Source organism: Homo sapiens, chromosome 6, assembly GCF_000001405.40.
Source record: "Homo sapiens chromosome 6, GRCh38.p14 Primary Assembly".
Taxonomy (NCBI): Eukaryota; Metazoa; Chordata; class Mammalia; order Primates; family Hominidae; genus Homo; species Homo sapiens.
In genome coordinates this window covers 169,788,729-169,803,655 of record NC_000006.12, presented here as the reverse complement: position 1 = coordinate 169,803,655, position 14,927 = coordinate 169,788,729, and the positions used below count along the sequence as shown (strand labels likewise).

Below are 14,927 nucleotides of genomic sequence, written 5' to 3'. Positions count from 1 at the left end.
TCTGTGGAGAGATCTGTGGTGTGGAGAGCTCTGTGTATGTGGAGAGCTCTTTGGTTTGGAAAGCTCTGTGGTGAGGAGATGTCTGTGTCTGTAGAGAGCTCTGCGGTTTGTGGAGCTCTGTGGCTTGTCAAGCTCTGTTGTGTGTAGCTCTGTTGTGTGTAGTGGTCCGTGTCCGCTCAGAGCTCTATGTCTGTGGAGACGTTTATGGAGGCACTGACCCTTTCACAGCACCAGTGTTTACTCCTGAATATGTGGGTATTGGGTCCAGCTCGTGGCCTTCTCTAGCTGTCTTGTGTTCTTCCTTATCTTGTGGCTTAGCAGCCCACAAATGTACTTCCTGGAGAGGAGAATGCAGCCTCCACCAGACCTCTCTAGCTTTCAAATCAAGTGTGGCCTAAAGCTGCCTCCTTGTGTATTTTAATTTCGACCTAAAGCTTTCTCTGTACATCACGAACAGTAACCTAAATGGAATTGTAAACAGACCGTAGCCTACTCTTGTGCCAATCGCTGAGTTTTGGCCAATCTAAGGTGGCCAGCTCTTCAACCATGTTCAACTACTGCAAACCCCAAGCTTAACAAATCTGGCTGTTTCCGTACCTCATTTCCATTTTCTGTACATCTCTTTCCTTTTTCGGTCTTAAATTTTCTTCCACCACATGGCTGTGCTGGAGTCTCTGAGTCCACTCTGGGTCGGGAGGCTGCCTGATTTGTGAATCACTCTTTGCTCAGTTAAACTCCTTTACATTGGCTAATTGGTTTTACTTTTTTTTTTTTTTTTTTTTCTTTTTGACAGAGTTTTGCTCTTGTTGCCCAGGCCGGAGTGCAATTGCTATGGCGTGATCTTGGCTCACCGCAACCTCCGCCTCCTGGGTTCAAGCAATTCTCCTGCCTCCGAGTAGCTGGGATTACAGGCATGTGCCACCACGCCCAGCTAATTTTTTGTATTTTTAGTAGAGACGGGATTTCTCCATGTTGGTCAGGCTAGTCTCAAACTCCTGACTTCAGGTGATCCACCCACCTCGGCCTCCCAAAGTGCTGGGATTACAGGCGTGAGCCACTGCGCCTGGCCCGGTTTTACTTTTAACAAGCGTGAGAGCATCTGTTGCTGAGCTATGTGGGCAACATGCATGTGAGGTGCGGCCCTGCCCTCCAGGACACGCAGCTTCATGAGTAGAGAAGAAATCTTATCCAAGGGCGAGTAGCAAGAACACAGCAAACCAACGCACACAGAGGGCGATCCAGCAGTCAGACTGGGCAGATGGAAACAGCTGAGGGTCTTCAGTGTCTCGCGATGGGAGAGGCGGCCTAGTCTGAGAAACTGAGGCAGGAGGGACTGCCTGGCTTCTGGAGGGAGAGGAGGAGCCTGTCCCAGGCCCAGCCATGTTGGTGACAGCAAACTACCGAACTACTGGAGGGAGAGGCCCGGGCTGTCAGGGAGCACTGCCGGCTGCTGAGAGGACAGGGAGCCCCGGGCCCCCCCTGCAGAGGTTCCTGCTCAGGTCCTCCGGAGCCTGGGTGGAGCAGAGTAGGGTCGTGACCTGTGGGGACCCTGCAGTGCCCAGATTTAGAATTCTGCCAACCTCCAAGCTCACCATCAGCCTCCTGCAGCCCCACTTGTTTCTGGGGCAGCTACTGGACCCCGACCCCATCGTCCCCAGGCAGGGGGTCGCAGCCGCAGGTCTGTGGGGGCTGGTGTCTGGCCTCCCTCCTTCTGGCTGGCTGAGCAAAATATCTGCAGGGCGCAGAGCAGGTCACAGGGATGCTAATTAGAAAGGATAAAGCTTTTGTGGCCTAAGGCGGTTGTGGGGTTCGCTTCCAGTCTTTGAGAACACAGGAGACAATCTGTTTTGAAATCAACATAGAGGCTCCCCAAATCAATACAGTTTCCCCTCCTTTGGGGCTACGACACTGGCTTTTCCACGTGAAGACAGCAAAGCGAGAGGGTCGGTAGCCTGGTCTGCTCTCCGCCCGCGTGCAGACATGGCAGCAAAGAGGCACCCAGAGAAGCCCCCGGGGCCTGGGGCTCTTTGTAAAAAGACAAGGCCCTGAGCAACAAACTGGCTCCTGCCGCTGAGGACGACAACCGTGCACGGCTGCCCGGCGGGTCCGCACTGCCTGCCGCTCCAGTGTCCTGCCCGCTCCGCAGCAACCCCGAGCTCTGCCTCCTGTCCACCCGTGTGTCTGTGCACACAGCATGTTGCTGTCAGGGAACGGCCTCCTGCTTCTCGAGTGCCATGGGACTGGCTTTTGTTTGTGTTTTTCTTACCTAGGACTGGGACAAAAGATGGCCTGGAGCCAGGAGGTGCCGCCCACCAGTAGGGCTAGGCTGGGAGAGCTACTTTTTCCCCACCAGAGCCGCCTCTGCTTTCAGTCCCAGGCTGCACCCCGCTGGCCTTTCTGGGCCACACCAGGACCATTCTCTTGGCAAAATCTGAGGGAAGTGAGGAAACCAAGGGCTCTTATGAAATGGACAGAGTGCGGGGTGGGCACCAGCTGGGCTGCGTCCCTGGCCAGAGCTGTCGGCCAAGTTGGAGGACAGAACAGGGTGCTGGGAGGGAAACATGGATTCACTGCAGTGCTCAGGCCACCAAGCACACCACCTCCCAGACACGAGGGAAACCCCAGCATCGGCAGAGGAGTGAGATTTTGCCACAGTCTGGCCCTGGCAGTTGAGGAGCAGCTGGTGGGAGGCGGGAGATGTGCAGGCTGAGCACAGGCTCATGTGTGCGATGACTCAGGTCCCTCACTGGAGACACCAGCTGAGAGGAGAGACTGCAGGGCCTGGCACACACAGGGCCACTCTTCCTGCTGCCGGCCAGAAGGAGCTGTGTACACACAAGGCAGAGAGAGAGAGAGAAACATTAACCAAATTGCAAGTTTCGGATCATTTGTCTTCTTGTTGCTTCAGAAAAAGTTTATCTTTCAAGCAGGCCCACCTGTTCTTGTAAAACCTTATCTGGGCTATTTGGGAGCGAGTCATCAGTGCTTGTTCAAACATTCCACTGAAGAGGGGAACAGAAAGGAGGGGAGGTGCGAAGGTCATTTTCAAATTTGGAAATCTTTTTTCCCTTGCTTGAAGAAAGAGAGCTCTGCACTGAATGGGTTTGTCCCTCACATTTCCCTCTGATCTTTCAGGGAGCCCAGGTCGGTCCGGGGTGCAGCTGCATCCATTTGTGGGTACATACCAGCCAGAAAAGTTGTGTTAATTTGCAGCGAATATTTTCAAACTCCTTTCTTAAAGATGAAAGTGTTGCAACCTTGTCTTGGCTCCTGCCAGGCTGTGTGGCAAGCGTGTGTGTGAGTGCAATGTCCTGATTCCCGGGGATGCTGAATGAAAGCCCAACTCTGCATGATCCCCTGGCCCACGCCTCCGAGCCTTTCCTGCTGGGAGGTGCACCTGATGTGCACAGGCCCTTGGATCAGGCATGCGTGTTCTGTCTTAAGATTATGCTAAAGGAATTCAGGCCAAAGGCAATGACTTAGATTTTTGGCTGACTTAGATTTTTGGCTGAAATTTCACATCACAGTGCTGTAATTGTAATTAATTATGTTGCTGTGTTTCTTTACAAGGTTGTAAAGCACAAAAGCTGAGGTCGCAGGATGGTCTTGAATGATTGACTAAAATTGTCTGCTTCTCTAATGCTAGGCAGAATATATAAAAAGATAAATTCTATTAAAACCCCTCCTTCCAGAGAGCAGAAAATAAAGGGACTCAAAGTCCATCACTCTCGTGTGCTGCCTAGGGCAGCACTGGGGCCACAGACACTCTTGCTGATGGCTGTTTTGTGTGTGCTGCAGGCTTCCTAATAGAAAGGAGGCTTTGTAAGAGCACAGAAACATGCCCATGCTTCTTGGATGTGCCCTGGAACAGAGCTGAGCAAACAACGTGAAAGCAATATGTGGTATTGATTACTCAGCAAATATAAACAATCCCATACTCTTTACAGTAATCCTTTATTCAGCGTTTTTCAACCTTTAAAAAAGTTGAAGTCATTCTACTTTGATGCCTCTCTCCTTTGCTCAACTGCCCTCTGCCTAGAGCAGGCCACGTCCCTACTGGGGCAGGGAGCTCACTGGCCTCCAAGGTCCTGTTTATCCGCAGCTTCAGTGGAAGGAGGTCCACTCTCCTGCTGTTGCCACCTCCTGGTTGAGCAGCACCTTGTCCAGAACCGCCTCGTCTTCATTCTCATTGTCTTTATTTCTGGTTTTCTGCTGTGCCGCATTTATCCCATGCATATATGACAGCCTTTAAGAAACATCAGAGAGTAACAGAGACGGAGGTGCCGAGAATCAGCAAATGGAGAAGCCCTGGGCTCTGTTCCCCAGTGCTGTTGTGTTAAAGGATTTTGTTATTGTCAGTGGTGGTTTGCCCTTTTTGAAAAATGGAAGCATCAAAGTTTTAAACTTATGCTATCATTAAAATAACAACAACATTCATTGTCTGAAACAAAAATTAACTGTGAAGTGAGAATTTGAGAAGTCTCAGCCAGAACACAGTGCTGACCTTCATCTGCGTTTTGTAGCCACCACGTCCAATCCATCACCTGCTGGTTGTAGCGGCAGAGAGAAGGATGCAACCCCTGTCCTGCTGTTGTTTTATGGCTGATGATTCATGAAGACAGAAAAAATGCCCTCATTTTGGCAGCTTTCATTTGATCATTCTTTCCCACCTTCCCCAGCCTCTGGGAGATGTGTTTATTGCCAGCTTCACTGCAGAGGAGACAAATAAGTAACCCAGATGTTGGTGTTTGTGGTGCCTTTGCAGACACCTCCATGACACGTCATATCATACACTGCATATTGGATGTAACGTGAGCAATTTATGAGTCCAGACGCATCGACTGCTCTCCTTGTGCCCCTGCTGACATTCCCAAGAGATCAATATCCTGTAAAAGCCTGAAGATTGCTTCCTTTAAATGGTAAGTGCCTGCTCCATGCCTTGGAGATAAGACATTTCTACTCTTGGTCCTTAGTCACTATAAAATCACAATGTGATTCTGTAGAATTAAAAGGTGATAAATAAGCTTAGGAAATGATGTTGTTTCGGGGAAGAACGTGGACTCACTGCTGTGTCTCCTCAGTCCTTCCTTCTGGCACTCCTCTTTCCATGGAGACAGTGCTTCAGCAGGACCACCTGAACAGGCCAGTATCTGTGGGCTCGGATTTCTTACTTCTCATTATTTTATTTCAGAGAGAGTTTAAAGTGTGCATCATGTCCATTTAAATTTACTGACAATGTTTATCTAATCTATCTGCCTACGAACCTACTCCTCCATCCACACACACATACTTTGTTCAAGAAAGAATTTAAGGTGCTTTCTTCACTAGAAAAGGTATCTATTATTTTTCAAGCTCAGAGAAAAATGTTAGCTTTTAAATAATGACACAACTGTACTAATTCTAAGTTTTTTCTTCTATAACATTTTGTTAAACGAATTCAAGATGCTGTGGAACTCCAAATGCTTAGGAAAACATGGCATCCTTATGAAAAATTGGGTTTTGAATGACACATGCTGTAAACAACAACCAAACACATTTGTATGTGAAAATCAAATTCAAAAACTTTAGAAAATATTTGCAAAAGCTGATTATGGGTAATTCCTCTGAACAGATCCAAGATTTAAAAAAAATAAGATAATCTGTATAAAAGCTGCATTTCGTATCTGATGAAATTTAGCGTTAAAAAACTTAATAAAATAGGATTTGATAAGTATTTTCATAACATGGTAAGATACACCTATCTCAAACCAAAAGACAATATCAAGTTAATTTCTTCAACAAATAATAAGAAAATTAGTAAGATGTAGGGATAAAATTGATATACAGAAACCAATAGCTTTAGAAGATATAACAAAAGAAATTACTCCCATTTAATTAGCAAGAAAAAGTTCCCAGGAATAAACTTAACAAGAAAGTTAACATCTATATGAGATACATTTTTATCCACCCTCGAAAGTTTATAAAAGAAAACTTGGACAAATAGAAAGACTTATGATGTTCTCGACTAGGAAGACTCAACATCATAAAATGCCAACTTTCCCTGACTTATTATGTAAATGAATGCACCTAAATAAAAATAGACTGAGGTTTTTCTGGATCTTTGTATTTTATTTATTTGTTAATTTATTTTACTGTGAGGTGAGAACTAGACAATCTGATTCTAACATTCAAATAGAAAAAGAAGCAAACAAAAATAGGAAAATCCAGAAAAAAAAAGAGTAAAGAGAAAATTAGCCTTACCAGTTCTTAGATCATATAATAGTTTTAATAACTAAAACATTGTTGTACTGGGTCATGAATAAACACACAGAACAACAGAAAAGCACAGGAAATACAGATAGACACAAAAATAGGAGGGAAATTAGTAAGTCATAAAAGTGACATCTAAAGTTGTTAGTGAAAAAAACTATGTGATAAATGGCATTAGGACAACTGAGTAGCATTCAGCAAAATAAATAATAAAAGATGAAAGTTGCACCCATGTCCCACCATGTATATAAAAATAAATTTCAAATAGATAAAATATTTAAATGTTATCAGTAAAGCCATAAAAATACTAACAGAAATCATGGACAAATTCCATGATTTTTTAAATTAAAACTGAAAAATCCAAATGCAGTAAAATAATTTATAAGTTAAACTACCTCAAAATAGGAATTTCTGCATGAAAAACTACCATCAGCAAATTAAGAAATCAAGACAGACACTGAGGAAAAGAATGTATTTTCACCTCTTATCACAACTTACATCCTTAATATATTAAAAGCTCCAAAAAATCAATAAGAAAAAGATTAAAAAAACTCAATAGATCAATAGGCAAAAAACTTTGATGGAATGGTCCAGTGAAAAGAAACTAAATAGATGCTCAGCCTTACTAATAATATAATAGGAAACCTATTCAATCAGCAAATGTCAGAAGACATTCCTGATGTGCAGGTAGGGAGCCGTGGAGAAGTAGTGGCCTTCATGCCTGGGAAGAGCGAATCACATGACCGCATGCAGGATAATTTGACAACACCTACAGAATTACAAAGATGTGTGTCCTCTGACCCAGCAATGTCACTCCTAGGGACTGATTCCAAAGATGGCTGCAAAATGGTATATTAGCAAGATAACAGCATTATCTGTTATAACAAAAGATTTGAAAGAATCTGTGTCTATCAACACCAACCACCCATACAGTGTGGTACTGAAATACTCCACAGCTGTAAGAAAATGGAATGCTACATGTACTCATAGGGGGGATTATCCAATTTATAAGAGCAAGGTGTGGTAAAGTGCATGTAATCTGCCACCATTTGTGTAAAACACAGAGAAGATGAAGGTGAGCACTCATATTCCTGTGTGTTTGCATCTGCATCAGGAAGCTCTAAGGACGCACAAAAACCTAATCATAACTCATGCCCTTAGTGCCACATATAAAGAGTTCCTAGAAATCAATAAGAAAGACTTTGTTACACACAGGAGTGTAATGAAACCAGGCAGAGGAGGATGTGGATGGAGAACAGACTATACTGAATGCTTTTCATGTTTTTCATTTATGAGCCATGTGAGTTTTCTCCCATACAATAATGAAATTATCATTTTTAAAGCATGATTTCTTCAAGATATATCATAGGCTGTTTTGTTCAGTTTATGATGCATCTTTTTTATTTCTATACATGTATGGGGTACGGGTGTAATTCTGTTACATGGATATGTTGCACAGTGCTAAAGTCTGAGCTGTTAGTGTTCACCCAAAAGATGAGTATTGTACTCATTAAGTAATTTCCCATTGTCCACTCACCTCTCATGCTCACACACCATGTTTTTATTTAAACAACACTTTCTTTTATGTTTGGGGCCTCAAAGAATAAATACTACTATTTTCCAACTAGACAGACTCCCACTGGCTTCATAGACCAGTTATTTTGACACTACAGACAATAATTTAAAAGCAAATATTATGTGGTTTGTATTTATTAATGGGTTAATTTAACAAGAACAGCCTTTTCAAACACTGCAAAGCATGTTTTCTACAATAAGATTTTCTGTTTTTTCTTTTGCCTTTGTTTCCAGCTTACTAATTACAGATTCTGCAAAACTATTTCATAAGCCAGTTCTGTGGAACCCCTTTCTGGCCATTTCCTGAAGCAACTTTCTTTCCTAATCATCCCCATAACATGAAGGCCAGGTTCTGCAAGTAAAGGGTGGTGAGGCAATTCTGGAATCATCTAAGTGGCAAGCCCAGGGGGGTGGGTTTCAGAGAACACATAGAGGAAAGTGGAGGCTCGGGAGGTGTGGAAATACTGACCTGATGGAATTAACCATCTTCCCGGGAGCAAGACTGAGCCCATGGAGGGTGCTGTGGAGCTTGCTGCAGGTTCTGCTGGATAGGAAATTGTGTCTCATCCACCTGCTGTCTGCTTCTGTCCTGTCTTAGCCCAGCAGAGCTGTTTTAACACAGACATTTGCAGCCTGCCCAGTACTCTCCTGGAACCAATAAGTCGCCAGTTAGGAAAAAGATCAGCACTGACCAAACACAGAGATGTTGGAAACCTGCATTAATCCCCAGTAGAGGCAGAGGCTCTGAATGCTGAAGCCACAGCTACGACTTGGCCACACTCTGCACATGGCCCCAGACATTCAGATTTCTGCACCCTCAGGGTGGCTTGCAGGCTCCAGAGCCGGGGTTCGGGCCCTGCTGACCACAGCCAGCTGTCCCCTGCAGCCTCAGACCAGGGCCAAATTCCTGGTGTGCTTCCCTCCTGCACCCACTCAACAGCTCTGTGGCCTTTGCAAGCACCTGCCTGACAGGGCTATGGCAATGTGTGGAGTCAGACAATGGTGCCAAGTCGGGAGCGGACTTACGGTGAGACAGTGTAGATAAAGCCTGGGGCCCAGCTCCCCAGCAGCACCTGCTCCTGCACTGTGGCCACCGTGGCAACGTAGCTGCTTCTATTTCCTTGAGCTCCATTGCCATCTTTTCCCAGGCGGGGCCCCTTCACCCCCTGCACCTGCCACCATCCGCCCTTGCCCCTTACTCCTGAGCCTCCTTTCAGTCCTGCTCTTGGAAGGGAAAGAACCCCTGGCTTGGGGAGCCTGCCTGGTCCTGGGGTGGCCGCCTGCCAAGGCCCTGGCATCTCCCATCCTGAGGCTCCTGCCCTGCCTCTGAGCTCTCCCTCTCACTCCCGTCCCCTTGGCCTCTCCCGGCTGGGGCCTTGCTGTCTGTCACCCCTGAACGGAGCTGATGCTGACACCCCAGAACAGCAGGGACCTGGAACTGTTCCAGTCACCTGCTTCAAGCAGCACCTTGAGGACAGACCTTCACCTGCACTTGGAGCATTTAGTTGAACTGCAGTTTTGATAATAATGTAACTGTGTGCAAACACTAGAGCAAGTGACTGTGGTGTGGAAGGGCGAATACTCGGGAAGTGTGGGATTTTTGTCTGAGAAGTTTATTCAGCAAGCAGCTAATTCATGGTAACATAAAGAAAGTTGATATGAAAACTGCCCTTCCCCTATATCCCTAAGGAGACCACCAAGAAGACCAGGACATGCTATTACGTATGTTCTAGAAATGATGAAGGGGAGCACTGGGGAGCTAAGATACATGGGTTTAATCTCAGATTCACTTCCGATGAACCGCCCTCCTTCGTGCATCCACTCTGAAAGGCGTGGCCTCAGTACGAATTTGGGAAGCTTTTGCAGTGGCAGAAGTCATGAAATTAGGGGGCAGCACCTTAGGGCCATCAAAAGGGAGGGTTGTCTTGGGAATGAAGGTTTGGCGTTAACAGATCTGGCTTGTTGGGTCTAAAGAACAACAAAGTATTCCTCCCTGGCTCTCGGAACTCAAGGTCCTGAGCTCTTCAATACTGGGCAAGTTCACGTTTGCACATTTCGCACAAGCAGGAGGCAGGGTGAGTTGTTGGGATTCATGCCAGGCAGAGCCGAGCACATCAGGGGCCCTGGGTAAAAGGGGGTGGGGACAGCGCAGGCACCAAAGGTCTTGGCATGGGGTTGCCAGCCACCAGCAGACACCAGATGGGAAGGGAAACCGCAGGCCCACCGTTTGCCTCTGCCTGCGGGGTGCTGCCCCCACAGTGCCTCTCAGGTGTCTGTAGTCTCACACTTGTTTCTCACCCTCAATGTGGATCACAGCTGCCGCATGTCTCTGTAAGCACCACAAGGCCGGTGGCATCCCCTTGGGCTCACAGGATGCCTGAACCACCAGCCTCATCCTGAACTCCCCTCCATGTACGTGAGCCCCATTAGCTTTTCTCCCATTTGTAGGCAATGGAAGGCCAAACTCTCTTAGAGAAAGAACAAGAAACTAGGGTGAGCTGCCTCACATGTTGAGATGTGGAAAACTGAGATTTATTTGCAGAGAAAAGAACTGGGCTCCACTGTCCTGAGGGTGCCTCTGGTCTCTCGCAGTTGGATCCCCTCACATTTCCCAAGCCCAGGTCCAGATCTCCTCCTCCCCACCCTATCTCTTCACTTCTCATAAACCAGCTCCCCTAGCTTTGCCCAGATCACCCAGCAACACCATGGCAGGTAAATCCTTCCTCTTTACAGTAGACTCTGAAATTCGCCCTATGTTTCCCACTCCCCTCTTCGTCGATGAAAAGGAACAGCTTGGGGTTTCCAGCACCTGGTGCCTCCTGTCTGCGGCCCCTCCAGGACATTGGCTGTAAAGCTTTCTCCTCCTCCAGACGCCTTCGTGCACCCACCTGCACCGACCGTCCCGACCTCAGCCCACCTTTTCTCCATCCTGAGCCACAGTACATGTCCCCCAGGAATCTGTGGCTCTGACCACCTCTGACAATTCACTCCCCGTCAGCCCCTTGGGAACCCCAAGAGAGTTCAGCCTGAGCCCCCGGCCTTCCGGGCCTCCCCAGCTGTGTTTCCGGTCATTCCTTTCCTCGAGTCCCTCCACCCTGGATGCCCAGGGTGCCACCCTAGCCTCCCCTACACGCTGGCTTGGTTCTTCTCAACCATCGCCATTGGCTTGGTTTCTGTTGTGTTTGGTTTTTAGGGGTCAGGCTGCCGAGTGCTGTTCTTCTCCTGGGCTCTGTCCTCCTCTCTCTCCTTGGGTTGCAGCATCCAGGTCTGATCCAATAACTCCACAGCACACAATGCGGCCCAGGCCATGCACGGAGGAAGACAGCAGAGCGGCCATGAGGCTCCCAAAGGGAGCCAGGGCCCAGGCCCAGCACACCCTGCCCACAATCCCCTGCATCCACTGCCTCTCCTGCACCCGGCACTGGGCAGCGTGGGCTGTGTCAGCGGTGTCCCTCCTCCCTTCTCAATCTGTTGTGAGCTCCATTAGGCCAGGGACCGGTCCTTAGAAGCTGTGGGACCCTTCAGCCTCCCTAGCAGAATGTCTTGCACACAGTGGTGGCTCCATAAAATATTTATTTTCTATTTTGTCCATTTATTTTATAAATCTCATGCAGGCCAGATAGATTGGAATTATCAATTACTCTAGAAAATAAAAGGATAAAAGCAAGATCTGGAAATACAGACCGAGCAGCACTGGAATGCACCAACTAAGGCAGAGAGGCCCCCTGAGGCTCCGCGACTGCTGGACCATTTAAGGCAACATCATATCTCAAGTGGGGAGGGAGAGAATCCGCCGGTCTCAGCGGGGGTGGGTTTTTTAAAGTGGATTTAGTCATGGTCTGGACTTGCCCAATTTTCTGTGCTATGCTGTGGGAAGGGACAAGGTCCTAAACTACCCTCACAGGACTTAAATAAAACAAAGAACACATACAGGTGGGTGGGAAGGCAGTCAGATGACTCAATTCTGTGCCCACCACCCATGGCCCCTGATGGGTCATGCCTTCTGCTTAGACAACAGCCTCCTAGACCCCACAGATGGGGGCAATGGCATAAACTCAGACCTGCAGCCGAGGCCTGACTCACCACAATGGCCCTGCCCTGCACTGCCAGTGACAGACCTGTCACTTTCTCACTGATCCTTCATTTTCCTATGAAATGGGGCTAATATTGCCTCTTTCTAAGGTTGCTATTAGGATTAATTTTTGAGATAATAGACACTGAGATAACAAACCTGCCAAGTGTTACATCGATGTGATTATCCTGAGATTGAGAGGAAATGTCAGTGAGGCACTAGGTGGTGGCATGGCCGTGAGTGGGAGAAAGAGGGTGGATGTTCCAGATGTCCCTGGATCTCTACCAAAGAGAAGATGCAGCGAAAGGACAGCCGTGTTCCTGGTGTCTCCTTTTCCCCTCAGGACAATGAATTACGGGTTTTCTGTGCCTTAGTTTTCTTCCTTTCAAATGCAGTTAATAATACTGTCTCTCAGGGGGTATTCACAGACGTGAACAATTAATGATCGCAAAGTGCTTTGAAAATAAATGAGCTTACTCATAATGGTGGTGTTTGATATTTATAATAATAAGCCTGTGCTGCTGGCTTCGCGAACTATATTCATTGGTACAGAGCTTAGTTTTATGACTGGCTTTTTCAATATTTTAACATAAAATCCTCTTATTTTAAAGTAATCAAATGACCTTCCTGCATTCCTCCAGAGTCTTATTCGGAAAAACTTAAGATTTGATCATAGATCTATTTTAAGAAGTGCCAAGTTAACTGACATCGATGCCATCGTATCTGGAGTCCCTAGGAAATCCAGGGGGGGACAATGAACCGTAGGAAGACTCGGACTCGGGTCTGCCTGTAGCACTCGGAGCCTGCAAGGCAACACAGTTATTGAGTTCTATTAAAATTACTTGGTGTGGCTATAAACCAAACCACACCCCTGTAGCCAATGCGAAGAGCTTCCCGTAAAAGCCGTGCGGTGGGAAGGCCTCTCGCTGTCTCCTCTGCGCGGCAGGCAGACATGGACGACACCGAGGCGTGAATTCAGCCTGCACCTCCTAAAGATGAGCTGTTGAGGGCGATGGCCACAGCAAGTCCGCACCAAGTGCTCTTTAAACATGAGTGTTTCTTTAAACAAAGAACCTTCCCGGCATTGAGGTCTGATTAATGATGCCCCGGCACCTCCTCCCTCACTCAGGGATCACTTCCCTGCGGCGCGTTCCCAGACGCAGGCTTCCCTCACGGAGGCGGGAAGATTTCAGGCGCTGTCTGTTCTTGTCTTTTGTCAGCACGGACAAGGATGGAGACCCCACTGGTCAGGCGAGCCCCGCGGTCCCTGTTCCTCACTTCACCACCTGGGGAAGCCTGATCCCCATCGATTCGCAAAGGAACAAGGAAAGAACACGTTTTACCTGGATGGATGGTCCCCCTCACGGTGGCCTTGGAACCCGCTTCAGCGGGAGAGGCAGCGCCTCACTCACGGCTCCCCCTGGCCGCTGCTTTACCAGGGAGCGCCACCCCGTGCCCCGCCAGAGGAAGTGCAGGCGCCAGCACAGCACGGGCCGAAAGCCACACTGTGGGACCCGCAGCGCAGCTCCAAGAAATCCAAAGTCCATTCACAAGAGGAGCTTCTCCGCCAAATCGTTGAAAAATAAAACGAGAAATGAGTCGCCACCGGTATCCGCTTTAGTCAGCCGTACGAAAACGCAACCCGGTCAGCTGCACTTCTGCTGCCAGCCCTCCTCCAGTCAAGCACCGGCCTCGAGAAGGGCAAAGGGCAGGTAGGAGTTCCGACGCATGCGGCCACGGGGCGGAGTCACAGTTCAGAGGCCTCAGCTGAACCTGAAGTTATCCTAAGCTCGAGCCCCAGAGTGAGGACTCGGGGTCAGGCATCCGATTCCCCATCAGCTCCTTTACTAAAGCTGTGCAGAGAATCCGAGGCTATGAGTGGGGGTGGGGGAAAGATGTACAGGATGCTTTGGTTTCACTCCTGAGATACGAGAACGTCCTCTGAACACACATGCAGATAGCTGGACTTCTAGACAGAGGAAATCCAAATCGTTTCTTTCCTCCCAGCATAAGGGAACGGTCCGGTAAGAGCTGGTGTTTATCGATGCTACGTGCCAGAATGGGGCTGAGCACGGCGCCTCACTGTATCCTAACGTCTAATGAGGCAGGGAATGTCACTGTCACACTCTGCAGACGAGGAAGCCATGCTGTCAGCAGGTACACATCTTGCCACAAAACCAGTAACCTGTGGCACTGAGATCGCACACCGGTCGTCCACTGCCAAGTCCGTGGCCTCCTTCTCTGGGGTTTGCCTGCCTCTTGATGGCGGCCATGCCTCTGTCCTCTCGCAGGGGCTGGCTCTTCCAGTGGTCACTACTTTTTGGTTGCAAGCAGCAGAGATTCCCTGGAGGGCTTGTTGAAAGCACTCACATCAACGGAGCCTCAGAAAGGGAGCTGAGGCCATGCACGGCCCTGCAGTTTCTCCTCAGGCTTTGGTTTGCATCCCTGGCCTGACTTTCCCTCAACAAGTCCTGCTATCTCCACAAGGCGGCCAGCCCAGCCCTGTCCTCACCTTCCAGCCCCAGCTGAGCAGCCCCTCCCCACATCATCTTCAGCTGCTGCCCAGGCTCCGCAGAGCAGGTGTCCACCGCCCATCCAGCCATTGTGTTTAGAGGGCAGAGCGACCTGCCGGGACCTTGACAACACCTGGCCCCACCCACACGTCCTGCAATATTCACTGAGGAATGCACAGCAGCACATATGTGCCTCATGTGTCCTGCTGTGATGCAGCGAGTGGCACACAGCATTATTGTGTCAATCATGTGTCTTGATGTGATGCACTGGTTCAGACAGTATCATGGATGCAGTGTTTCTTTAAAACTGTCAAATTTGAGGAAACAATCTAACAAAAGCCAATTGATGAACATTCTGTAAAGGTGACATAAATACTTCAAAAATGTCTCTGACACAGAAAGAAAAAAAACAAAAAGGGAGCTATTCCAGATTTTAAAAATAAAAGATATAGTAACTAAAAGCAGTTGTGGTGCTTGGATAAAAACAAACAACAGGTATAAATGAAGGTATAAACGAT

The 14,927-nt window shown here is 48.0% G+C and overlaps 2 long non-coding RNA genes across 2 annotated transcripts, besides 3 other annotated features; one reads left to right on the top strand and one right to left on the bottom strand.

Annotated features, from left to right (window-relative positions):
• Window positions 1-782: 782 nt before the first annotated feature.
• Window positions 783-13,583, bottom strand: LINC00574 (long intergenic non-protein coding RNA 574). The gene is made up of 3 exons (NR_026780.1): window positions 13,240-13,583; window positions 8,294-8,472; window positions 783-2,825 (listed from the first exon to the last, which is right to left on the bottom strand). It is a non-coding gene; the product is annotated as a long intergenic non-protein coding RNA 574 (long non-coding RNA).
• Window positions 1,074-1,766: an enhancer, noted in NCBI's record as "H3K4me1 hESC enhancer chr6:170201986-170202678 (GRCh37/hg19 assembly coordinates)". NCBI's record gives its function as "activates a minimal SCP1, AML or CMV promoter by ChIP-STARR-seq in naive H9 embryonic stem cells {active_cell/tissue: H9 hESC(naive)}" and the evidence as "EXISTENCE:reporter gene assay evidence [ECO:0000049][PMID:30033119]".
• Window positions 1,767-2,460: an enhancer, noted in NCBI's record as "H3K4me1 hESC enhancer chr6:170201292-170201985 (GRCh37/hg19 assembly coordinates)". NCBI's record gives its function as "activates a minimal SCP1, AML or CMV promoter by ChIP-STARR-seq in primed H9 embryonic stem cells {active_cell/tissue: H9 hESC(primed)}" and the evidence as "EXISTENCE:reporter gene assay evidence [ECO:0000049][PMID:30033119]".
• Window positions 2,461-3,153: an enhancer, noted in NCBI's record as "H3K4me1 hESC enhancer chr6:170200599-170201291 (GRCh37/hg19 assembly coordinates)". NCBI's record gives its function as "activates a minimal SCP1, AML or CMV promoter by ChIP-STARR-seq in naive H9 embryonic stem cells {active_cell/tissue: H9 hESC(naive)}" and the evidence as "EXISTENCE:reporter gene assay evidence [ECO:0000049][PMID:30033119]".
• On the top strand, window positions 4,831-14,866 carry LINC00242 (long intergenic non-protein coding RNA 242). Its single transcript, NR_026781.1, has 2 exons — window positions 4,831-4,919; window positions 12,538-14,866. It is a non-coding gene; the product is annotated as a long intergenic non-protein coding RNA 242 (long non-coding RNA).
• The last annotated feature ends 61 nt before the right edge of the window (window positions 14,867-14,927 follow it).